Source organism: Homo sapiens, chromosome 16, assembly GCF_000001405.40.
Source record: "Homo sapiens chromosome 16, GRCh38.p14 Primary Assembly".
NCBI lineage: Eukaryota > Metazoa > Chordata > Mammalia > Primates > Hominidae > Homo > Homo sapiens.
In genome coordinates, this window is record NC_000016.10 from 25406819 (window position 1) to 25433788 (window position 26970).

The 26970-nt window shown below is 41.9% G+C and overlaps 1 long non-coding RNA gene across 2 annotated transcripts, besides 1 other annotated feature; it reads right to left on the reverse strand.

Moving 5' to 3' along the window:
• Window positions 4455-4956: an enhancer, noted in NCBI's record as "NANOG hESC enhancer chr16:25422594-25423095 (GRCh37/hg19 assembly coordinates)". NCBI's record gives its function as "activates a minimal SCP1, AML or CMV promoter by ChIP-STARR-seq in primed H9 embryonic stem cells {active_cell/tissue: H9 hESC(primed)}" and the evidence as "EXISTENCE:reporter gene assay evidence [ECO:0000049][PMID:30033119]".
• Window positions 12994-26868, reverse strand: LINC02191 (long intergenic non-protein coding RNA 2191). Of its 2 annotated transcripts, none has more exons than NR_184337.1 (4): window positions 26222-26868; window positions 24518-24713; window positions 17181-17446; window positions 12994-13342 (listed from the first exon to the last, which is right to left on the reverse strand). It is a non-coding gene; the product is annotated as a long intergenic non-protein coding RNA 2191 (long non-coding RNA). The 2 variants fall into 2 exon arrangements; NR_184338.1 differs by having other exon boundaries at window positions 24518-24939.
• Between the last annotated feature and the right edge of the window lie 102 nt (window positions 26869-26970).

Consider the following 26970-nt stretch of genomic DNA (forward strand, 5'->3'; position numbering starts at 1 on the left):
GTCATAACCTAAAACAGGGGTCCATAATTCTTGCCTTATAGGTTTACCGAAATAATGTATTTAAACACAATGTGTAAATCATTAATCATGATACAAAAGTGAGATGTTAGTACAGTAAGGCAGCATGGTATGATAATTCTCGCTATCATTTGTTGAGTGCTTGCTGTGTTCAAGAACTTAACTTGCATTATTTTATCTTGCTGATCATCTTGGTTAAAATATGTCTTTTTTTTTTAACCTATGTGGTAATTGAGCCTTTGAGAGGTTGAGTAACTCATCCCAGGTCACGTGGCTCATAAATGGCTGAGCCAAGTGTCAAATCCATACTGGAATGGTGGAAAGATGGCAGGAGTTGGTCCCAGAATACTTAGGTGCAAGTCTTGGTACCTTTATTTACTAGTTCTGTGATTTGGAGGCATATCTCTTAGGTCCCTAAGCCTCGATTTTCCAATCTGTCAAGAGGGGATCAAATATTTACCTCATAGGGTTGTTGTGAGGGTTAAAAAGGGTTTTGCAATTTATTGGACCATACTTTATAGCTCTGTCTCACCATATATCATTTTCTCTAAAGCCCAATAGAAAAAACAATCATCTCAGTACTAATAATTTTGGTTCCCTCCTAGTTTCTTAGCTTCTTCTCTGTTTTTGTTGTTTGTGTTTTGAGACAGGGTCTTACCCTGTTGCCCAGGCTGGAGTCCAGTGGCACGATGACAGCTTGCTAGAGCCTCGAGTTCCCCAGGCTCAGATGATCCTCCCACCTCACCCTCCTGAGTAGCTGGGACCACAGGTGTGTGCCACCACACCCAGCTAATTTTTGTATGTTTTGTAGACATAGGGTTTCACCATGTGGCCCAGGCTGGTCTCAAACTCCGGGACTCAAGTGATCGCCTGCCTTGGCCTTCCAAAGTGCGGAGATTATAGGCATGAGCCACCTTGTCCCACCTCTTCTGTGTTTTGGAGAAGACCAGAGATTATCATAGTGTAAGAGCATGGACTTGTTCTACGATAGGCCCAGGTCCAAGTACTGGTTCTGCCACTTACAGGCTTAGGGAAATTATTTAACCACTTTAAGCCTGTTTGCTTACTCCCCAAATGGGGCCAATAACAAGTCCTATGTCCTAGAATTATTTGTGAGGACCAGATGAGATACTGTGTGTAAATCCTTCATCAGTCCTTGTTACATCAGAGAGATTTAACAAATGATACCAAAGGCAATACCTAGATAAGAAATAATAGCACATTCTACATTACACACATTCGAAAGCACTTTAATATGAACTAAGTCAATTTTATTCTCAAATTAGCCCTTGACATTGATATTATTAGTTTCCCATTTTACAAATGAGGAAACCATTGCTCATATAATTTTAGTAATTTCTCCAGAGTCACCCCACCAGGGCCCATTCGCGCCTAGGATTTCTTACTTTGGGAGCGGTACTTCATCTACATTGGCAGAGTGATAGAGGCCAAGGAGAATTTAGAGGCTCCAAGGGAAAACGGTAGGAATAAGTGAGGTTCACCTGCAGTCTCCAAGAAACAGCTCAGAGGTCAGAGCTTCTGAAAAAGTTCAGGGCAGTGAGCTAGCTGGGGAATATTAGTTTCTTGAGCATGCTGAGAAAGTTATTGAACCAGTGAAGCTGAGAGTACAATAGCTCTATTAAATGACCTCTCCTCTCCTCTCCTCTCACATTTGTGTGCTATGACCCAGAGACAGTTGAATGGCTGGGATGGTTCCATGAGTGTCCATACGGCATTTTGCAGATACATACCTGGCCATCAACCCTGCTCCATAAATCCCCCAAACTGGGCTAGGTCATACTAGAAATGGAGGAATTTCAAGGATTGCTAAAAGGCTATTTGTACATTGTTCAAAGCCACTAGGTCGAGCTTCACATATGGATTTTCTAAGGCATTCTAAGGCAAACTCTGTTGCCTGAAAGAGGTCCTAAATCTCCCTTATATTATGTGTTTTTAAATATTATTTGATATCAACAATCAACAAAGTTGAAATCTTTTTATATATATATGGCAGCTCAGAGAGATTGCTACTTTCTCAGTGTCTGGCCACTACATAGTGGCAGAGCCGGCATTAACCTTCTGCCTGCAAATGCCCTCTCTCCACAGATGGAAGGGTAGGGGTTGAGTCTCTAAATCCATTTGTGATGGCACTGACAGGTGGCAGCACCTTGATCTTAAACGTCTAGCCTTAAGCGATTCTCCCTCTGCGGCCTCTCAAAGTGCTGGGATTGCAAGCCTGAACCACTGCATCCAGCCCTGGCAGTACCTTGAGACTCTCTACTTAGTGGCTGGAACTTTGGGCAAGCGAACGAATCCTCCAAAGCCTCATCAGTGAAATAGTGGTACCAGTTTCCTAGGTTTGTTTTAAGTATTAAGTGAGCAAATGCATCTCAGATGATCTTGATCACTTCGAATCCCACCGCCTGAGCTGCTGAACTAACAGTCAGGATTCAGACCAGGAAACCCATGCAGTCTGGCTTCAGAGCTCTTAATCACCAGGAGCATAATGTATGAGCAGGACTGGGAAGATTTACGCAGAGGATGGGCTGGAGAGTGGGCTTACAATGTGCATGACTTTCTAATACATCAATGGCAAACATTTATTGAGCTTTTGCTAAATGCCAAGCCCTGTTTTAAATACTTTACATGCAGTCACTTATTTCACCTTCACAAAAATCCTAGGAGGTGGAAACGACAGTTAACCCTATTTTACAGATGAGGAACCTGAAGCAGGGGGGTGTTAAATGACTTGCCCAGAGTTACACAGTTGGTAAGTGGAGTTGAGCAATGTAGCTCAGGAGTCGCCTAGCTTAACCATTATACTAGGCAGCATATTTAATACTCATTAGAGAAGAGCTTCTCAAACTCTGCACTATCGACATCTTAGGCTGAGTAATTCTTCACTGTGTGGGGGCTGTCTTGGGAACTGGAGGATGTTTAGCAGCATCCCTAGCCTACACCCATTAGACGGCAGTAGCATCAGCACCATGCCGGTTAGAATAACCCAAAATGTCTCCAGATACTGTCAAATATTTGCGGGTGGTGCAAAATTGATTTGAAGCTTGGCTCAGCCATTTGCCACCTGTGTGACCTTGAATGAGTTGCTCAATACCTCTGGAGCTCAATCACTTCCTATGTAAAAGGGAGACACATTTTAGCCAGGATGATCAGGAGGATAATATAAAATGGTGCATTAAAGTTCTTGTATGTAGGAAGCGCTCATCTTGTTCGTAGGAATTATTATGCCATGCTGCTTAATGGAGTAACACTTCACTTTGTGTCATGACTGACACAATGTGCTTTCATAAATTATTTCAACAAACCTATGAGAAAAGCAGGGATTATAATCTCCCTTTTCGGATCATGACATTGAAAACTCCTGCATTAGAGAAATGAGAAGCACCAACCAGATAAACAACTTCTCCTGGCCAGGCATGGTGGCTCATGTCTGTAATCTTAGCACTTTGGGAGGCCAAGGCAGGTGGATCACTTGAGCCCAGGAGTTTGAGACCAGCCTGGGCAACATGGCAAAACCCCATCCCTAAAAAAAATTGAAAAAATTAGCTGGGTGTAGGGGTGTGCACTTGTAGTCCCAGCTATCTGGGAGACTGAGGTGGAGAATCGCTTGACCCGGGAGGTGGAAATTGCAGTGAGACAAGATCATGTCACTGCATTTCAGCCTGGGTGATGGAGTAAGACCCTGTCTCAAAAATAAAAATAAAAATAAAAAGCCAAAAAACAACAACAAGCAACCAAACAAAGAACACTTCTCCTTCCAAAGGAAGGAGTGAGCAAGGGGTGTTGAAAGAGAAGGAAATCATTTTCCTCAAACTGTTTACATTTGTAAAGTGAAACAGAAACCCTCTCTCATTTATGGAAATCGGAGCAATGTTTCTCACCCTCCAACAAAAACAGCATGACAAATTACATTTATTGAGTCTTTACTATGTACCAGGAGCTATGATTAACTTTTTTCCCCCATGCATTAAAGTATATACTCCTTATAAAGGTCCTGTAATTATCCGGGCAGTGGGTGGATTTCAGTAATGCCCCAGATTTGTTTGTGTCTCAGGTCCTTTGCATCTGGGTCTGCTCATGGCAAGTGCTCAATACATGTTAACTGGTGCTCATTTTCTTCTGTATTTGCATATACTTGATTGAAAGATCCAAGAGTTAGGTTAGAACTTAATGGCAAGGTGGAGATATCTTATTTTGGCACCATTTCTGGATCCCACCCTTGGAAGTCAGGCCCGCCCTCCGTACTTAGGTACTGACCTCAATTTTAACTCAGTATACTACATCGTAATGTAATTCTCTGTGTGCCTGTTTCTCTTCTGGACTGTTATGTTCCCTGTAGCTTTAAAATGCTATCTTTTTGCTTTTGTGTCTCCATTATCTAACACAGGATCTAGATAGTATAATACAGAGAGATAAGAAATATTTCTTAAATGAGGAGGCCTGTGTTCAAATCCACACCCTCTCTTTCCTTGTCACATGACATTGAGCAGGTTCACTTTTCTGAGACCAATTTTTTCAACTAGAAACTGAAGATAATCATGTCCATCTGATAGGGTTATTGTGAGAATGAAGCAAAATAAAACATGTAAAAGTCCTTGGAATATTGTAACCGTTGAAAGAATATTACGTTCCTTCTTTTCATGCTAACCCATCTGTGAATGGGGGATGAGGGCTAGGCTGTATGGAAGGCACAGGATCATTGGGCTGGTTCTTTTGTAATTCGACCCCAGATCTGCCTAATTTACATGTCTCTAGCCCTGCAAAAAAATGGCTTTAGTACCTGCTTTTCTCTTTTAGTTATATCAAGTATCAACCTTCCCCAGGTGGTGTCTGTACAATTAATGGCTACAGAATCGCTAGGGCTAGGGCAGGCTGGTTTTTCTTAGATTCTTTTTTGAGTTTGTAATCTTAGCTGTCATCCCTTTGGCTCTGAAGATTATTAAGCATTCCACGAGGAAAGCAGTCCTCTTTAAAATGGTTCGGAAGCAGCCATGATTGAGGAAAGCCACTTACCTTGCATTGCACTCCTGCCCCCTTGCCTGATATCCAGCCAATAGTCACCCATGACCTTGGCAAAGAGGAGGCAGCTTGCCTCGTTCCAAGCTCAATTATCAGGAGATAACCTCTGAAAGTTGGTTAAATAGGATTTCTCTTTCTTATTTCTTTCGGTTCTTTCTTTCTTTATTTTTTTTTAAGCACAGCAGAAAAAGGCTTTCCTGGAGACAGCAAGGACAAATATGAACAATGATAGAGGAAGGTTTTCAGTTTTGTTGGGGAGAGAGATTGTGCATCAACTTATAGCTGCACACCCTCCATCTCTTCAGAGAGAACTTCAAAAGCTTCACTCCAGAGATTTACTCAAAGACTGCATGGCCCGTTGGTTAGTGTATAATGTAACATTTGCTTTTATCCTTATAAATATTTTAACTCTTTTTTGCACTCTGGATCTCTTGTTTCAAAGCCAAATTTCTTTCACTTTGTTAGTAGAATTGCACCTTCTCCCCAACATCCAAGCAATTTTCCTTCTTCCGAGGCTTGTACTAAGGTAAAATGAGTCTTCCCCTCTCTGCCCTCCACAACCTCTTTCAACTGGGCAGCTCCCTGTGAACTTTCAGGTGATATTCAATCTTAGTTTATGTTTTTATTTCCCCCCAAATGCTCAGTTCTCAAGCCCCTTTTTTATTTGAGTAATATTTTCTTTTTTTCCTGCTGTGTTTCTACTTTCTTAGAAGTGTTAATTCAACAAACATTAACGCTTTCTCAGACACTGTACTAAGATATATATATATATATATATACCCAGACATATATGCACACACACAGAGATAAATATTCAGATATAGATATACAGATAAAAATATAGAGATAGAAATACTGTGGAAGGATTCATAGAGAAAAATTTAATAGAAACTTACTGAAGACTGAGTGAAGGGGCTCATGGAAGACTTCTTTGAGGAGGTGCCTTTGGAACTTTGTATTGATGTATGCATAGGAGATAGGTGTTAGCTGCCTGTATATATAGGAGAAAGACACTCAAAAGTAGAATACATAATATATGGTTATAGGAACTTACAAGAATATAGCATATAATACAGGGAGAGGGATGAGAATGTGGTATGCCTGAAAACTAGGATTTGTCAGAGAAAAGGTTGGTAAATGAAACTGGGAAGATAATCGGTGTTCATATTAGGAAAGTCTTTTCACACTGAACTAAAAAATTGAGCTCAAACTTTTCCCTGCAAATTACATGACACTACTGGAGGTATTTAAGCAAATGAGTACCTTATTCCAATATGTGTTTTGAGAAATTATTATGACTGTGAAGATCAGGCTAGTTCAATAAGAAGTTGGGGCATAATGTTCCTTACACTTTCAATTTGCCAAGTCCTGACCAAAATTTCTGGTAAGTTCTTGAAAATCAGCCAATGCAAAATCAATCAACCTGTGTCCTAGGAACCTAAAAATCAATGGCAGACTAAATGTCACATGGAAAGGTCAGCAACACACATACACAAAATGAAAGACTGAAACAAGCATACAATTTGAATACCAGGACCACAGGCCTTTATTTAAGAAAGGCTTGGCTTGAAATCCTGATTTGGTAGGGCCTGGCTTGAAAGCCCAAGATCTTTATGGACATGCTGTTATTTATATGTCACTTACTCTTATTTATGGTTACAATTAGGCCATAATGATCATTAATTAGAAAAAATGCTTTTACTGGCTCACGCCTGCAATCCCAGCACTTTGGGAGGCCAAGGTGGAGGATCACAAGGTCAGGAGATCGATACCATTCTGGCTAACATGGTGAAACCCTGTCTCTACTAAAAATACAAAAAATTAGCCGGGCGTGGTGGCGGGCACCTGTAGTCCCAGCTACTTGGGAGGCTGAGGCAGGAGAATGGCGCAAATCCAGGAGGCGGAACTTGCAGTGAGCCGAGATGGTGCCACTGCACTCCAGCCTGGGTGACAGAGCGAGACTCCATCTCAAAAAAAAAGAAAAAAAAAAGAAGAAAATGCTTTTACTTCTTTGTGTTCCAAAATATTGCTTTGAATTTAAGTACATATTGTTCAGGATTGTATCCTATCAGCCAGTACTTAGGTTGTTTATGGTAAAGTCTCCCTCACTTCTCCCAGGAAGAAATGATCACTCTTTCCTCTGTACACACATAGCACTTTAGGAATATGTATGTTACAGAATTTATCATGATGCATTGTGATTATATCTTCAAGAAGCATTATAATGCAGTGATTAAAAGCACATGTCTGGAACCAGAAAGTCTGGCTTTAAATCCTGGCTGTCATTTACTAGCTGTGCAAACTTGGGTAAGTTACTTAAGCTTTGTTTGACTCAGCTTCCTTATCTGCAAAATCAGAATAATGTTGCATGCCTCATAGGGTTGTTATGAGGAGAAAATGAGGTAATACGTGCAATGTGCTTAGAACAGAAACAATGATGTTGTAACCACTCATAAAAGTTGTCATTATTTTTTCAATTTTTATTGAATATTTTTGCTTTTTTAAAATAACATTTAAATTTTTTTTTGTAGTGACGGGGTCTCACTATGTTGCCCAGGCTGGTCTTGAACTCTTGGGCTCAAACGATCCTCCCAACTTGGCCTCCCAAGGTTCTGGGATCACAGGTGTGAGCCACTGTGCCTGGCCTATTATTTTTCTAATGATCTGGTTCCTCCAGTGTTTTCTGTTCTTTTTTGTGTCACAGTGTACATGAAAAATGATACAATTTGTGTAGCACATTGGGATAAATGAATGAGACTGCTTGTGTTTGAGATAACCAAGCTGAGGGGCTTGTCCCGAGTCAAGACCTTCCTGGCTGCCCTGATGGCTAAGGAGATTCAACTTGCAGTGCACCTGTCACTCATTCGTGGGAAACTGATCTGCCAGCCTGTGTTCATCAAAGGTGGAGATTACCATGCCTCTTTGTATCCTGTGTGCCCAGCACAATCTTTTTCACAGTGCAGGCACGTAATAAGTATTTGTTTCAATAAATAGATGAATGAATGGAGGGCAAGAAGGAAGACCTTACCTCTCTTTGTCCATCCAAAGTAATGTGTGGGAAAACAATGTTCACTAACTAGATAGTTTTATTTTCTATCCAAATAATGCATTTTGACATTCCAAAATGACTGCAGATTCTGCCAAATCACTTTGGGGAAACGGACAAAAAAAGGCGTCTTGAAAGATGAGTTGTCATGGAATACTTGGGGAGGCTGGCAGAGCTTCATACTTAAACCACCAGGAAATGCTTGATCATTCACAGGTTTCAGAATAAGTACTGCTGGGCAAAAATATTTATTCCTTAATCAATGGCCTATTAGTGGTACATACTTTTTATTTTCATTTTTACTTTGCTTTTAGAGATAGGGTTTTGCTCTGTCACCTAGGCTAGGGTTGGAGTAAAGTGGCATGATCATAGCTCACAGTAGCCACAAACTCATGGGCTCAAAATATCCTCCCACCTCAGCCTCCTGAGTACCTGAGACTAAAGGTGCGTGCCACCACGCCTGGCTAATTTTTTTTTCTGTAGAGATGGGGTCTTGCTATGTTTCCCCAGGCTGATCTTGAGCTCCTGGACTCAAGCAATCCTCCTGCTTCAGCCTCCCAGGTGTTGCGATTATGGATGTGAACCACTGCTCCAGGCATACTTTAAAATGGGGAGAGGGAAGTCTTTCTGTTCATCTGTGGCAAGAAGCCAACAGTAGGTCAAGACATTCTTGGAATGAAAGTCTTCATATGATCCATATCCTTAGAAAAGAAACCAAATTTTACTAACTGGCAGGCCTCACTTACAATTAAAAAGAGCTCATATAATTGAAATGGCCAAAAAAAATTTAAAAAGTAGGAGAAAATCTGTATCAGTGAGATGTCAAGGAAAAGTGCCATTCACATGCCAAAATAAAGACTTTCTACAAGATAGAACAATGGTTTCTAAAGTTTGTATCATGCTCATTTCACAGATTGAAAGCAACACACTTTTTTCAGTATTTAAAAATTTTTATTTATTTTAGTCATATAGAAAAATTACAAAAATTGTGCAAAGACACCTGTATATTCTTTATTCAGATTCATCTATTAAATTTTGCCACATTTGCTTCATCATTTGTGCTTTCACTTTCTATATATCCATCTATTCATCCATCTGCCTATCTATTCAATCATCTTTCTATCCATCAATTATATCTATCTATCCATCCATCCATCAATTATCTATCTATATCCATCCATCCATCCATCCATCAATTATCTATCTATATCCATCCATCCATCCATCCATCCTTCCATTCATCTATCAATTATTTCTAAGTTATCTTTCTATTCATCCATCCACCAATCTACGTATCCACTTATCTTTCCATCCATCTATTTATCAATTTTATCTATCATCTATCCATCCATCAATGATATCTATCTATCTATGTATCTATCTCCATCAATCCATCCATCCATCCATCCATCCATGTATCTACCCATCGATCTGTCAATTATATCTATCTATCTATCTTTCTATCTATATCTATCTATCTATCTTCTCTATGCCAGGATATACTCCAACATACTAATTATAATTATCTGATTATTCAGATTATGGGTGATTTTACTTGTACTATTTTGTTTAGATGCATTTTTTTTTACAAAAGTATATTTTACTTGGGTAATTTTAAAAGTTTAATTTGTTTTTGCCAAGCTTCTTGTCTGCTGATGAGGTTGGAGAGGGTAACCCAGCTAATGAGAATCCTGGGGTCAAGTGAGAGCATGTTTTAAACATTATAACTGCAGACACAATGTAACTTCTGGCAAGTTTACGGGGCTTGGTGGATTGCGGAAAGAGCAGAGGTAGAATCCAAGATAATGGTGGAAATGTCTGTTCCTATTTATCCTTGGTTGACTCAACCATTGGAGTTCTCCATTCCTTCATGAGGGCAGTAGCTTTACTATGTTCATGGTTTAAACCCCAGTGGGAGCCTCCATAATTCCCAGGAATCCATGTCCTTGTCCCTTGGCAATTCGGGCTCCTATTCTCACTAGTGGCCACTTCAACAGTTTACCTCATGCTTCACACTGTCTACCATTTTCTGATTTTTCCCTAAGGAAACCAAGATCTCTTGGGTTGGAGAGACTAACCTCATTCTTCTGCTAATGCCTTTAAGATGATTTGTGTCTAAATTTTCTTTCTTCCTTTCTGTTTCAGAGAAAGCAATGTAACTCCTCTTGTATAACAAGGATCCTGCAATCTGGGTTTTGGATCCCAGACCCTCTTGTCAATGATCATCTCTCCTTTATCTTCAATGTATCTTCTATTGGCTCTTTCTTCTAAATCTAAAACCATGCTCAAGTTTCTGCCATAGTGGAAAAAAACCCTAACTTTCCTAACCTTCCTGAGATAGCATCCTATATTTTCTCTATTTTCCCTTTTTGCTGCTTGAAAGAGTAGTCTACACTTCTTGCCACATTTCTCGCAATAAGGGCTTGTTGAATGCCCTGCAATCTGACTTCCCTGACTCCACAGAGATTGTTCTTGATGAGATCAGCAGTGAACTTCATGGAGCCAAATCCTATGGACAGTTTTCCATCCTTATCTTTTTGACATTTCTGGGGTATCTAACCCCCTGATTGCTCACCCCTTAAATTCTTATAATCTTTTTCTATCCATCCACCTATCCATTCATCTTCCATCTATCTACTTATCAATTCTATCTGTCTGTCTATCTATCTATCTATCTATCTATCATCTACCAATTCATCCATCTTTCCATCCATGTATCTATCACATCTATCTATCTATCTATCTATCTATCTATCTATCTATCTATCTATCTATCTATCTATATATATATATATCATCTATCTAATCCATCCATCCATCCATCCATCCATCCAGCCAGCCAGCCATCCATCCACCTACCTCTCCATCCATCCTTCCATCCATATAGCTATCAATTCTATCTCTCCATCTCCCTATCTCTCTATCCATTCATCCTCTCTATGCTGGGATATACTCCAATATACTAACCATAATTATATAGTTAGTATGGATTGCTTCCTACTTCTCTGTCCAACCCTCTTCCATGTTCTTCCTTGTTCTTCCTAGACTGTTCTTTAGACCCCCCAAGGCTCTGTTCAATACTACTTTGGTCTCAGTCTTTCCAGTCTTCCTGGCAATATCCATTCCATTCATGGTTCAGGTTCTCACCTATGCTGATGATTTTCACATCTCCAGCTTCTTTACTGGGCCTATGCCTTAGGATATCAATCAGCTTATGTGACTCAGACACAGCATGAGAGAGCTGGGCCTCTTTTCATGGCTCTTCTTCCAAACCACTTCCTCCTGGCACATTCTCTATTTAGTAAATGGCACCCCTTTCCCCAAGACACCCAGAAATGAAATCTAGCAGTTGATATGGACACTCAACACTATGGATCTCCCATATTTAATCAGTCACCAAGAATTACAATATCCGCTATTGAAACATTGCTTGTATCACCTTTATTCTCTCTAGCTTTACTGTCTTAGGTGAGATCAGCACCATCCCTTGTCTAGATAATTGTAGAAGCCTCCTGATGGGCTTCTTTGTCTTTAACATCTTCCCTCAACAATTTATCTTCCTCTCTGCTTCTAGACTACCGTAGAATCAAAATCTGACCATGTCATGTCATATTCCTTCAGTAGATTCACTTGGCTTCCAGAATTTAATTCCAAACAAAATGTTCTCCTATAACCTAGCTCTCATGCAGTTTTCCTGCCACATTCGTTATTATTCTCACAGAATACACCTTCATTCCCCCAACATACTTTTATCATGACTCTATGTCTTATTAAATTCTATACTCTTTGATGAGATGCCTTTCATCTCTTTTTTATTTCTCAGTACGATGTTACTTCCTCTGGCACAACTTTGCTACCCTCCCTCTAATTCAAAAGCTCCCTGCTCTGTGCCTATGCTCCAACTGTGCATTTGTTCATGGTCTTCCCCAGTAGACTGTATGTGTTTGAAGGTAAGCTTATCTTACATTATTTTGTATAGTGTCTGGAACCTAGTAGGAACTGATCAGTAAATATTTGTGGATAAACACATTCATGGAATTAATGAATTTTCCTTTTGTATGTATGTGTCTTATCTAATTTTACATTTCAGGCTCTCAAAAAGCAAGCCCCAACATGGAGCCTGTGAGGGTTCTTGGCTTTGCACAGGAAGGAATCCAAGGGCAAGCCAGAGGTAGAAGAAAACAGCTGTATTGAAGAGGCAGTGTTATAGCTCCGTGACTGCTCCTGCAGAGCAGGGCTGCCTCATAGGCAGAGAGTAGTAGCTCAGGACAGTTTTGCAGTCATATTTATACCCACTTTTAATTGCATGAAGATTAAGAGGCAGTTTATGCAGAAATTTCTAGGGAAAGGGTACTAACTTTTGAGTCATTGGGTCATTGCCATGGAAAAGGGCAGTAATTCCTAGGTGTTGCCATGCCAACAGTAAATTGACATGACACACTGGTGGGTGTGTCTGATTTAAAGCTGCTTTCACCCTGGCCCATTTTTAGCTACTCCTCAATCTGATCTGGTGTCCAAGCCCTGTCTCTGGAGTAGAGCTCCACCTCCTACCTCACTGATATTGGAGAAAACTGACCAACTATTGAGTCAATTCCATCCCACCTTTTTTTTTTTTTTTTTACAAATGGGGAAACTGAGGCCAGAAAGACAAAGTGATTTTTTTCCTACTGGTAAATGACTTGTATACGGCAGATCTAGGCCTAGAATCCTTGGCATTGGAAGTCCAGTTCAGACCCTGTTCTTACATTAGGTTTGCCTAAAACTCTGTGCTTAGTAGGTGCAGCAAATGCTGGTTAAATTGAATGAAATTACTTAAATGTGACTCACCATAAATTGTTACTGACCCTGAACACATGGGCTACTGGCAAAGCTGCTAATTAATCCGACAATAATTCTGAGGCAATCAGGCTTCATTAATGTGGGTCTGGCCTCATTTTCAGAAGCACTTTTGGATTGATCACTCTGGCCTGGCAGCTGGAGCAGATACTCCTGGCCAATGAATCACAGGGCCTCACGTACCCTCCACTCCCTGGGAATTTAGAAGGAACAGTTGGTCCTCTTTCCCAACTAGCTTTCTTACTTGCAAAGAAAGAGTCTTTGCCAAAGTTTCTGGCTCCTGCAGCAGCTTTCTCACCTGGGCTCTCCCGAGCCAGCATCTTCTGCAGTTTCAGGGACAAGGGGAAGCCCCAAGGTTTGTGTATTTCAGTTCTTCACCACCACAGCGCCTGGAGGCAAAGAGTTCTGTACAAAAGGACAAACAAATACTTATTTGGACACAAAAATTAATCACTACAGCTCAAAATAAGTGATCCTTATTTTCCCAAGACAGACATAAACTTGAAAGCACATGTCTCAAGGCAGAATGACATTGTGTACAACGTGCATGTGGCTTCTGTCTTCCCATTCTGGCTGGGCATTTAGGAGGAATGTACTCATTCCTCATAGCCATATGGTATTTGTGCACATCAAGCTAAAGAAAAAATTATCCTTTTTCCATTTCTGGTCCTCTTGCAGTCTGAACCCATTTACTGAGAGCAGCCTTATTATTATTGAGTTCTCTGTTAAATGGGGTTTGTTTTTGGGTAATATTAACCCAATGAGACAGCTTCTGTGTGGAAGTTACACACAAAAGAAGAAAGAAGGGGCACTTGTGTTATGTCCTTTGTTAACCACTGTGTAAAATCCTTAGTAAAGAAACTCCCCTTTTTTAGAGTTGATGTTTCTGAAACTCACATCTACTGGGAATGGGGCAGGGATGTTTCCCTAAAAGAGATACTGATTAGCTTAAAATTCTGTGACCATCACAAGACATGGTCTTAAGACTTGGAAGATGGAGGAAGATTCCAGATGACAGCACTTTTCAGTGTCCCATCAGGAGCTGCACACAAGTTGGTACCTAGAGACCTCAGGATTACGCTGATTCTGGGGTGATTATGCCTGTTGGTCTCTAAGTAAGTCTGCCAATTTATCTGTATTTCTTTTTTTTTTTTTTTTTTTTTGAGATGGAGTCTCACTCTCTTGCCCAGGCTGGAATGCAGTGGTGCAATCTCGGCTCACTGCAACCTCCACCTCCTTGGTTCAAGCGATTCTCCTGCCTCAGCCTCCCAAGTAACTGGGACTACAGGCACACATTACCACGCCCAGCTAATTTTTGTATTTTTAGTAGACATGGGGTTTTGCCATGTTGGCCAGGCTGGTCACAAATTCCTGACCTCAGGTGATCTGCCTGCCTCGGCCTCCCAAAGTGCTGGGATTATAGGCATGAGCCACCACACCTGGCCCATTTTTCTGTATTTCTAGAACCAGTCACTGAGGCTGGGCTGCATCGCCCTGCCTTGCTGTCCTCAGTCATGTTGGTCTCCAGGCATCTTGATTCCTTTCCTTGGCTGCCTGATATGGCTCAGAGAGGACCTATGTGCTCATGTCAGCATTCCACAAAACACCTGTGCACTTATTTTATAAATCATGAGAAACAGTGATCTAGAGTCAGGGGTACAGCCATGGATGGATAAACATGTGTTCCACCATATTTGAAGAGTTCCATCTGGATGACATACTGGCTGTTCTGGGCAGGGAGAAGGAAGAGGGTCAAAGATGGTTATAACAAAGGCTAAGGGAAGTCAGTTTTCACCATGGTTGGCTTAACAATTCCAAGGCAAGCAAAATGAATTTCAGGCCAACACTAGTAAAAATGGATAGCTATGATGTCTGTGTTAGTCTGGACTCTTTTGGCTCTCATTGACAGAAATCCATCTCTAGCTAGATTATATAGCAACAATAAGAACAACAAACAAACAAAAAACAACAAGAGGAAATTGTATTGGCTTATTTAGCTGTAACATTCAGTGGGTTACTGACATCAGGAATGGTTGGATCCAGGTACTCAAACGATGGCCTTTGGCTTTGCTTTCTTTTACATATGGTTCATTTTCAGGGATTTTCATCATCTCAGTTTGGGTTCCCTGACCACCACCATCACCACCAAAAGCAGACCCTGTGGTACAGTACTTTATTTGGGAGATATGGTGGTCGTGAAAATGAACCACTCAGATGTTCTGTGGCAGGAGGCATGATTGACTAATAGCCCTGCTCTTACTCTTCTGGGACACCACATTTACACCAAAGCCATACTTCCCTCAGGCTGTACCCAGCTAATGACAGCACAGTGAGGCCACTAAGGGAGGCTCATGCCTACAAGATGTGGTTCTCCTCTGACAGGTGTCTTTGAGAACCCCTCACTGGCCTGGCCAAACTTGTCTTCGAATTAGGCTGCAGTCTATGTCTCTTCCTGCCCAATTATCCCTCCTTCCCTCTCTCTGCTGCAGTGTGAGTCCCGTATTGGAGTCTGAGCTTCTCCCCGCCTTCTCCAGCTCCCTCTCCTTTTGCCTTCACAGGTATTTCTCCAGTAAACTTCCCACATGTCTAATCTCAACAGAAGGACCAAACTAACACAGGAGGTGATCTCAGGAAGCACAAGTGAAGAAATGGAGAGGATAAGACAGATGGGAGAAAAACCAGTAAAAAGTGTACTGAGGAGCAGGTGGCCCCATGGGCAGGTCACACTGGGATCTTGTTAGAGACTACGTTGAGAATACTCAGGATTGTCTCAGCCAAGGGCAAGGATGCTAGGGAATTTATTTATGGTTTTCCATTTCCCACTGGCTGAAGATCACCTGAGGGCATCAGCTCTCCCCTACTTGTAGGTGGCAGAGAAGGGTCCTGGGTACTAGCAAAAGCCTTCAGGCAGAGAGGAAAGATGCAAATGCTTGAGGCTGGAAACTGTCTATCAAAGCTGTAGGTAAGCTCAGGTGAGCCAAGGGGATATGGCACAGGGCACCAACAGCATATGCTATACCTGTGAAAAAAGAAAGGTAGGGACCACTGGTAGCTTACAATATCCCTAGTGTAGCAATTCCAAATAATGTATCTTTCCCAGGAATTTTAGTCTGGGCATGGTGGCTCATGCCTGTAATCCCAGCACTTTGGGAAGCTAAGGCGGGAGGATTGCTTGAGGCCAGGAGCTGGAGACAAGCCTGGCCAACATGGCGAAACCCTGTTTCTACTTAAAATACAAAAAATAGCTGGGAATGGTGGTGTGTACCTGTTATCCCAGCTACTCAGGAGGCTGAGGCATGAGAATTGCTTGAACCCAAAAGGTGGAGGTTGCGGTGAGCCTAAATCATGCCTCTGCACTTCAGCCTGGGCAACAGAGCAACACTCTGTCGCAAAAAAAAAAAAAAAAAAGAAGAATGCTTCCTTCCCAAGAATTTCAGATCGAGCATGGTGGCTCATGCCTGTAATCCCAGAGCTTTGGGAGGTCAAGGCAGGAGGATCGCTTGAGGCTAGGAGTTCTAGACCAGCCTGGGCAACATAGTGACATCCTGTCTTTACAAAAAAGTAAGAAATTAGCCAGTGTGGTGGCATGCCTCTGTAGTCCTAGCTGCTTGGATCACTTGAGCCCAGGAGATCTGGGCTGCAATGAGCTATGATGGCGCCATCAGACTCCAGCCTGGAAAGAATTTTAACTTGTCTTGGGAGTGCCTCAGATTGGCCAAATTAGTGTCACCTGACCTTCCCTAAACCAATTACTGTGGCCATGGGAATGGAATATTCTGTTACATTGCAGTATATGATCGGGCCATCTCTCTGATTATGCCTGTTGGTATCTAAGTAAGTCTGCTTTTTTTTTGAGACGGAGTCTCACTCTCTTGCCCAGGCTGGAATGCAGTGGTGTGATCTTGGCTCACTGCAACCTCCACCTCCTGGGCTCAAGCAATTCTCCTGCCTCAGGATCCCGAGTAGCTGGGACTACAGGCACATACTACCACAGTCAACTCACATCTACTGGGAATGGGGTAGGGATATTTTCCTAAAAGAGATGCTGATTAGCTTAAAATCCTGTGACCATCACAAGACATGATCTTAAGGCTTGGAAGATGGAGGAAGATTCCACATTATAGTGCTTTTCAGTGTCCAGTCAGGAGCTGCATAGAAGCCTAGAGATCTCAGGATCACGTGGGTTCTGGGGAACTAAGTTGACCCTGGAGCACACTGGAAACAATTACCAGATATCACTTACTGGTGGGGCTGCAGCCCTTTGCCACCTCCATGCTGAGCTTTCATTAGCTGAGTCTTCATTGGCTGAGTCCTCCTGGGCTGAGGGCACAGCTATCTGGAGCCTGCCAAGAGCATCTTCTCACTGCTACACTCTGCTTGTTGCTAGCCCTGGAGAAGGGCTGACAGTCTTGGGGATGCAGGTCCCCAACTGCTTTCCATGCTTTTCTTCAGCCAAGAGCACAGCCCACATTTGAGTTGGGTTTAGGACGTGGTCTCTGCCCCAGCGCCCTGGGGTGGGAAATGGGAGAAGTGTACAATTAGCAATTAACAGCTTTATCTCTACTCACATGTAAGAGACATAATTAGCTGGTTCCATCTGTTCCTGATACCTGCTGGAGTCAGCCATTCACACCTCAGCCAGATATTACAGGGAGTGGGAGGGCCTGAAAAAGAAACATTGCAAAAATAACTCACGTTTTGTTGTTTTAGACATCTTGCCCCTTTGGAGTCGGTCTCCAACTCTGCTCCCTTCAGGTGCATACAATTTGCTGTCAGTTGGCAAGGAAAGGTGTGAGCTAACGAATATGGAAGCTGAAGATCTGTGTGATTTTTCCCAGGAGCTGAGAGCTTCAGTTTAAAGAGACAAGACTTGGTGTCTCAATTGGGGTCACATCACAAATAGGAGTTGAGCCTGGAAACTGGCATGGGAAATTTTTTTTTTTTTGAGATGGAGTCTCACTCTGTTGCCCAGTCTGGAGTGCAGTGGCATGATCTCCGCTCACTGCAACCTCCGCCTGTAGGGTTCAAGGAATTCTCCTGCCTCAGTCCCCCAAATAGCTGGGACTACAGGTGCCCGCCACCACGCCTGGCTAATTTTTTGTATTTTTAATAGAGACGGGGTTTCACTGTGTTGGCGAGGATGGTCTTGATCTCCTGACCTCGTGATCTGTCTGCCTCGGCCTCCCAAAGTGCTGGGATTACAGATGTGAGCCACCGTGCCCGGCCTGGCATGGGAAATATTTTCAGAAGGAAAGTCCAATTTTAGAAGGACCAAAAAAAAAAAAAAAAAAAAAAAAAGTCAACAGCTGCAGTCTCTACACCCACTGGAGCAAGCAACTTGTCCAAAGTCACACAGCAAGGAAGAAGATGAGCTGGGATTTGCATCTAAGTATATCTAATTCTAAGCCTGTTTTCTAAATCATTATCCATCACTGCTGCTTTGTCGACATCATGGTCTCAATGGGCATTAGGAAAGGCCAGGACAACTTTTAATTTTTTTGAGGCCAAAACAGCCATGCCCCAAAAATGTGGTATTTAAAAAGAAATGTGCCCATATACATAATTAATGCATTTAATGTAAAAATGTGTGATGCAATATAGTTGGGTTATTCACAAGATAATTACAGGGCTCATAAAATATTAATTCATAGTACTCTACAAATGGCAGAGCCTGGATGAGGGACATATATTTATCAGGGTCTCTATGGAAAGAAGATGGCATACTCAGAAGAAGATTATTCAAAGAAAGTTTATTTACAAAGGGCTTATTTACAGATGTTTGGGTGTAGAAGAACCACAGAAGACAGTGTAATTATCTAGGTTAGTAGCAGACAACAGTTACCACCTCCAGGCTCTAAGGGACAAGTTAAAGTAAGAGCTTTGTATGGCAAGGGCATTGGGTGCAGCACTGATGTGTCAGGAGCTGCAGCCAACCAGGGAAACAAATAACCTTAAGGTAGGAGGCAGAACTCAACCCTGGACCAGAACTAAGACTGGCTGAAACAGGGAAGAGGCACCACCACCACCTCTCCATAAGATACGCCCACCAGTGCCATGACAGTTTATCATTGCCGTGGCAACACCTGAAAGTTATTGCCCCTTTCCATGGCACCCTGTTTCTAGAAATTTTGAAATAACCCATCTCTTAATTTGCATGTAATTAAAAATGGGTATTAATATGGCTGGAGACCTGCCCCTGAGCTGCTGCTCTCCACACACTGTCTAGGATGGGGGAGCCCTGCTCTGCAGGAGCAGTCAACGGAGCTGTAACACTGCTGCCTTCATACAACTGTCTTCTTCTACCACTGGCTGGCTCTTGAATTCTTTCCTGAGTAAAGCCAAGAATCTTCCCAGGCTAAGCTCCAGTTTTGGGGCTTGCCTGCCCTACATCAACCTGACTTCATAGTTGACCCTGTCTCTGACTTCCTACCAGAAGGAAGTCCCCACTGATAGAACCAATAAGGATACGGTGAGTGACACATCTGGGGATCAACAATTAAGGAGGCCTTCACTGTCAGGACTGGGCATGGAGCACTTGCACAGCCCTGAGAATGACAGCCTTCTTAAATGTTCCACCCTCAATGCCTCACTCTCCCTACCCTAGCCCCAGCCTTGGTCTCGGGGTCTGGTATGACATCTACACAGCTTAGCCTTTAGCAGTCCTGACTGGGTGGAGAAGGGGAGAGAGAATTTACAGGAGAATGGGAAGATATCCAGCACAAAGAAACAAGTTTAAAATTTAACATAAACATTTTCCTTTCCACCATATGCTTCTTTCCAAGACTGTTTATTAACCTTATTTGAAGAGAAAGCCCAAAGTTGAAATATGATCCCTCCTTTTCACCCTGTGATAAGCCGTGGTGGATCTCAGTTTATTGTAGTGATTGGAAATGAAGCTGTTTCCCTTTAGGGACATAGACAACCAGAGACAAAAGAAAGCTTCCCCATAGAAGGCTCCTCTTTGGCTTGTATTGCATTCCAGGCAAGCATATTCCCGTTTTCCCACTCTTTTGTGGATCTCAGAATATTCATCTTCCCTTTCAACCCAGCCCACTCACTGGATCCCACTGGCTTTAGCTCCTGCTGCTTCAGCCATTCCTGTGACCAAGACATTTCAGACAAAATGAGCTTTTCATTCAGTATCATCAGAGGCAAGGAGCTGAATTCTCCTGCCTACCTTTTTCTGCCCACTGTCTTTGGCCTTACCATAATTTGGTTCCCCTGCCAGGCCATCTGCATAATGAGTTCCTCCTATGGGTTTTGCTCTGTCAATCTGGATGCCCCACCACCCCCCATGGTGCAGTTTGGCCACCACCACCCTGACTGTCAGCTAGATCTTGGCAATCATTGGGCCTCTCTTCCATTCATGCTCTACTACTATGCTACTTTTTTTTTTTGAGGTGGAGTCTCACTCTGTTGCCAGGCTGGAGTGCAGTGGCAAGATCTCGGCTCACTGCAACCTCTGCCTCCTGGGTTCAAGCGATTCTCCTCCCTCAGCCTCCTGAGTAGCTGGGACTACACGTGTGCACCGCCATGCCCGGCTAATTTTTGTATTTTTAGTAGAGACAGAGTTTCACCATGTTGGCCAGGATGATATTGATCTCTTGACCTCGTGATCCACCTGCCTTGGTCTCCCAAAGTGCTGGGATTACAGGCGTGAGCCACCGTGCCTGGCTAGTACTCTGCTATTTTAATTATTGAGGGCCTCTAATAGATTTCAGTCATCTGGTGGAAGTAGTTGTTGATCTCCCATTACATTTCTTTTTTTTTATATTGTCCAAGATTAAAAGTTTTTATGAAATTCTGTACCAAGAAAGACATTTCATGGGGATGTGACATGGATTTGGAAGGCAATATGGCAGAGTTCTTAAATATACATGCTCTGGTGTCTGACTTAATCCAACCTTTACTACTAACTGTTCTAGGCAACTTACTTAATATCTCTTAGCATCAGTTTTATCCCCTGAAAAACAAGGATAATGAGAGTATCCTTTGTTATGAGAGCTGTAAGAATAATAATTAAATTGTCTCTACACTTTACTTTGTTATAAATTTACATTTTATAATATTTTTAGCTTTCTTATCCAGGGGTATAATTTGTAGCTACATTTAATAAGGGTTATTTACACACATAACAAGAAATATAGTTTTATAAGTAGCATTTTTTGGGGGGGTAAAATTTATTAACTTTTTTTTTTTTGCTGTGGTTCAATTATGTTGGGAATAGAATTTCTCTTTTCCTTATATATACTTTTTAAGTGGTGAGTGGGGATATGATTTATTTTTATATATTTACCCTGCATCTATCCTTTTGGTTCATTTAAAAATCAATTATAATGTTCTTTAGACTTCATAGGTATGCAAATAAATAATTTACAAATAATCATAATTTTGTCACTTCCTTTCTAATATTTAGGTCTGCAAACATGTTTCATGTCTTATTGCATTGGCCCAAACCTAAGTCTTAGATGCATGAACAACTCCAAGTCTTGTTCTGTTGTTTCTTCTTCTTCCCACCACTTCAGACTTTTGCAGAAGATCTTTGGGGACTAAGCTTAACTGAGGCACTTTTAATTTTATGGCAAAATAAGCACACTTTGTTTCCAGTTTAAAAGACTTGTGCAGAGGGTATGGAGCCAGAAAGTCCTAGACATGCCATGTGACTTTACATTCTAGTGGAGGGACCCATTCCCTTATTGCTTGCTCTTTCTGTAGGCAGACATGTGAGTGGGGGAATAAACAGAACACAAGTTGCTCCAGCTGTTGACAGGAGTTTGTCTGGCAATACCAGCCCTCAGCACTTGGAGACCCTGGGGACTCCAAGTCATAAGTCCTTTCTGCCAAGGTTGGGGAAGACGCTGTTGGTCTTGTGGCATGGCCCTTCGTTCTCACCTAGAGTAGGTAGGTGTCTGGTCTTAGTTATCTCTTTGTCCAAGGCAATCCAGCATGAACTTCTGGGGTCACTTTGAGACAGTTTGGCTGTTTTCATCACAGTCATAGATTATTTAGTGTACACCTATAAGACCCAGATTTGACAACAGGAAGTATACAGAACAGTGCTATTGAAATGCAGCAAGTTAATGAGGAACAAAAATATGATAATCAACCTGCACATTTACTTCAGACTGACCTTCACCAGATTTGAAAGTTGCATTTATCTGATAAAAAGTCTTATAAGGTATGCTGAAATATCCTTCAACGCTAATGTTAAAAATAGAAAATATAGTGACAATTATATCCAATTTGGCTTTTCATTTATTAAGAATAATGGCTATCCACACCTGCAATGTGTTATTTGTAGAAAAGTGCTTGCAAATGTCATCTGGAACGTTTTCTTGCATCTTATCATTTAGAACAATTATGTGTTACAAAAAATCAGCACAAAATTTAGAACTCCAAACATCGGTTCATAAAAGGAGCTTTTGTCTTTTTTAAATGTCTTGCAACATAGTAAAATTCCTTCCTGAAATAAACTCAAACATTTTTCTTTCATAAATAATTTAAACTAAATCTGCCAGCTTTACATCACATGTTAAATGGGGACAAGTCAAAATTTGTCTTAATATTATAAAGATTGTAACATGATCTTTACAGCATACTATTTGATAATATAGTGCTATAATAGAACCTTCTATTAAAAGTCGCTTCTTTGTCAATGCTGAAATGATCCAAAAATTCCTAAAGGCCTACAATAGTTTATTTATTTATTTATTTTTTGAGATGGAGTCTCACTCTGTTGCCCAGGCTGGAGTGCCATGGTATGATCTCAGCTCACTGCAACCTCCATCTCCTGGGTTCAAGTGATTCTCCTGCCTCAGCCTCCTGAGTAGCTGGGACTACAGGCATGTGACAGTATGCCTGGTGAATTTCTTTTTGTATTTTTAATAGAGGCGGGGGTCTCACCACATTGGCCAGGCTGGTCTCGAACTCCTGACCTCAAATGATCCACCTTCCTCAGCCTCCCAAAGTTCTGGGATTACAGGCATGAGTCACCACACCCGGGCCTACAATAGCATATTTATTTATGAGAGAGGTTCATGAGTCAAAAAGAAGTTGGAAAAATCTGAGGCTGTGGGAAAAGTTTGTCCATTTGCTAGCTGTTTGCATTTGGGCAAGTTACTCAACTTCTCTGATCCTTAATTTTCCTCACCTTTCAAAAGGGAAAGTGACACCAGCTTTGCAGTTTTGTTTTGATGATTACATAAAATATGTAAAGTGCTTTGCACAGAATAAGTTCTCATTAAATGATTGTTATTATTATTGATTCATTCATTTAACACATTTATGAAGTACCTGCAATGTATCAGGAATGAAGTTACATATCTTAGTTGAAAGAATGAACAAGATAAAATTTCAACACTCTGATGTTAAATTAAAGATGACAACAGTTTGTGAAGTTTGATAATTGAACAGGCTAGGCACAGTGGCAGATGCCTCTAATCCCAGCACTTTGGTAGGCCAAGACAGGAAAATCACTTAAAGCCAGGAGTTCCAGACCAGTCTGGGCAACATAGTGAGACCCTGTCTCTATAAAAAATTTTAAAAACTTAAAATATTAGCCAGGCATGGTGGTGTGTGCCTGTAGTCCCAGCAATCTGGGAGGCTGAAGCAGGAGAATTGCCTGAGCCCAGGAGTTTGAGGCTACAGTGAGCCATGATTGTGCCACTGTACTCTAGCTTGGGTGACAGAGTGAGATCCTTTCTCTTAAAAAATAAATAAATAAAATAAAATAGATAATTGGACATTGCTTTTTGGCTAGTTGATTAGGGAAGTGAGATTTTTCTGATATTCCTATACCACAGTAGTGGCTAACATGTACGGAATGCTTCTTATGTGCCTAGAACTGTGTTGAATGTTTTATTTAGATTGTCATTTCAAGCACACAAAAATCTGCATAAAATATCATGATGATTAGCATTATCTCTATTCTACAGATGAAGAAACTGAATCCCAAAGAGATTCAGTAATAAATAAGAAGTACAGCTGGTACTGAACCCTGGGAGTTTGTCTTCAGAGAGCACACACTGGGCAACATAGCAAGACCCTGTCTCTAAAAAAAAAAAAAAAAACTGAACAATGAGCTTGGCATTGTGATGTACACCTGTAGTCTCAGCTCCTTGGGAAGCGGAGGTGGGAGGATTGCTGGAGCCCAGGAGTTGGAGGTTGCAGTGAACAGTGATTGCTCCATTGTACTCTAGCTTGGGTGACAGAGTGAGATCTTTTCTTTAAATAAAATAAATTAAAAAAAAAAAGAAGTTGACCGGGGCAGAGAGGCAAGAACAGGATGGAAGGAGTTTGAGAAGGTGAAGGAACACTGATGATGATGTTACAGTATTTTCGGAGTAAGATACAGAGAAATTACACTAAAGGAGTCCGAGAGAGGGGCTGAGACTAAGGGGCTACAGTTTGGAGAGCAACAGCAGGGTTAGCAATATATTCAGCATAAGTAATAACAGGCAGCAGATGGAACTTTCCAGAAAACACTGACCTGGGGTATCAGAAACATGGTGTCCCTCCTATTTTGATGTTGGAAGTTGGTTCTAGGGTTGGCAGGTGTAGGTAACATTAGAAGTATTTTACCTGGGAATATGCTCTAGCATGAAAAATAATTCAGTGTATTCCTCCTAAGGTCAGGTGAATCAGATCCATCTATTCAAGATGAACTTGTTGTCTTCATTGCCCAGGGCTGTGGCATCCTGGAACCTCACTCCCGGCCAACTGAAGAATTAAGGAGTTGTGTAGTTGGTCTGGCCCAGAGTGAATATGAGATCGCAACCTGGACAAATAGGAGTGTTCCTTTTAGGAGAGCCATTCTGAAACTCAAAGGCTAAGGAGCATGGGCCTGACAAATGTGGAATCTGAGCTGGGATGAACAAAGCTGGACTTGGAGAACCACGTCACGGATAGAATTACAGGCCCTTGAGTCAGGATATGTGTGCGTCTTTTCACCCAGTGCTGATGTCCTTGTCGGAAATCTCAAGTTAATGATGTTTTTATAGACGCTGAAAGGAAAGCGTATCAGTAAGGAATCTGTCTGTTCTAAGCAGAAACACCAACTCAAAATGTTTCAGATTTAAAAAAGGTGGGGAGCAGGGTGGTGAATTTCTTGACTCACCAGCAAAGTTCTGGGTCTACTAGTGTTTAGGTGTGACTGGCTCCAGGGGTTTCTTTGGACAAAATTGTCAGATCTTTCTCATTCCTTCCCTTTCTCCTTCCTTCTTTCCTTTTCTCTATATGGTTCTGTGTTAGTCTCCTTTCAATGGGCTACAAAGAAAGGCACTTGTAGCTTCAGAATTACATAGTCCTTAGCACCAAGGACCTTGGAAAGAAGGAAAGAGTGTCTCTTTGCCAACATCTACGTGGGCTCTGATTGACCTCAAGCCCACTATTGGAGGAATTTGGGTTTTGTGGGATAGGGTTTGCTGATTGAACAGCTTGGCTCATGGCCCACCCTTCTAGTAGAGTAGGCAGGCACCCTAGTTTGACAGTCCCGGTAAATGTCAGGGAGGGGCAATCCTCAAAAGCCACACAGTAAGAGTGGTCTACGGACCGCCAGTATCAGAATCAGCTGGGAACTTGAAAATTCCTGGGCCCTAGGAGTCATTGAGAGCTGGGTGCAGAAATCTGTATTTGAACACCCTTCCAGGTGAGTTTATGTGTGCTAAAGTTTGAGAACCTTTCTTCCATTTGTTGAGTCACTTTTACATTCTCCCTATCTAGTTTCTTCCTCATCTAGTTTCATGAAATGTGGCCAGAGTTCCAGGAAGACATCTCTCCTGTATACTCGGGTGAGACTGTTGTCTCTATCAAGTCACCAAAGCCGGATAACCCAGAAGGAATTATCCACTAGAGAGAATCCTTTACTAAAAACTCTATTATTTCATCTTGGTGGCTGAGAAAGAGCAGGATGTTTTTTAGTATTTGTGCCTGGTAACAGGTACCACTTAGAAATCCATCTTATAATCATTTAGACTGGTTTGCTTTGGGTCTATTTACGTAATTCCATGAGATGCACGGAAAGAGAGGCGGCGTGTTATTTTTCTGCAGCCGAATACTGGGAAAAACCACTTTCTAAGGTAATTACCACTTCAGTGCTCCCCACACGGTTGGAAGGCGCTGTGAAGAAGTGTGCCTTCTGGGCCCGGGGCCACCAGAGTGTGGAAAGAATGTGCTTTCTGCCTCTGAAAGGGAAACAACACCCTTTGTGGGAAATCTCTTTGCTTATATGCATAATTTGCATGAAGGCTATGGCACAGTGACTTCAGGTGCATGGAGAGAACTTACTTGGAACAAACAGAACTCTTTCAAGTCCATCCAAGTGCAGCATCCTGGGGAGGAAGACTTGACCTCCCACCAGCAATCCTGGAGATGAGAGTCACTCTTGCTGAGCATCAAATCAGAGAGAGTTCTCTCTCCCAGTGGATATCAGTGGGTAATTTTAAGGTGAAAGATCTACTTCTTCAGTCCCAGATGTGCAGAAGTTTGCATGTATGTCACACTTCTCCAGGAGTGGTGAGCAGAAGCTTATTCCTGAGTGCTCTGTTTTCTGCATTCATCTAGACTTTAGATCTCTGACCCCCTTTTTCCATCATGCAGATTTCATCATTTTCCTGCCATTTTTCAGCTGCTAATGCTTCTAACTCTAATCCTACATAAAGCCCACGTTCTGGTACCCTGTTCACACCCTGCCAGCATCTCGAACACTGCATGTATATCCCTGCTATGTTCACTGTGCTCCTACCATATGCTATGTGCTAGTTGGGTACCAGTGACACAAACATAAATAAGACACTAACTTTAACCTCATGCCACTCAACAAATAGGCTTATTTTAACACATGGTCTTGGAACAAATGACTTGGAGTGGCTCTGCAGTGCCCGCATCTAAAGCAGGGGTTTAGATGGAATCTCCGCTTGGGGCTCATGGACCCTAAAGGGATCAGTGGATAGAATTCAGGTGTTCATAAGGATGGGCAAAATTCCATGTTCATTGTTACTTATCCCTTGCCCTTGTGACCTTTCTGGGTGGACTTG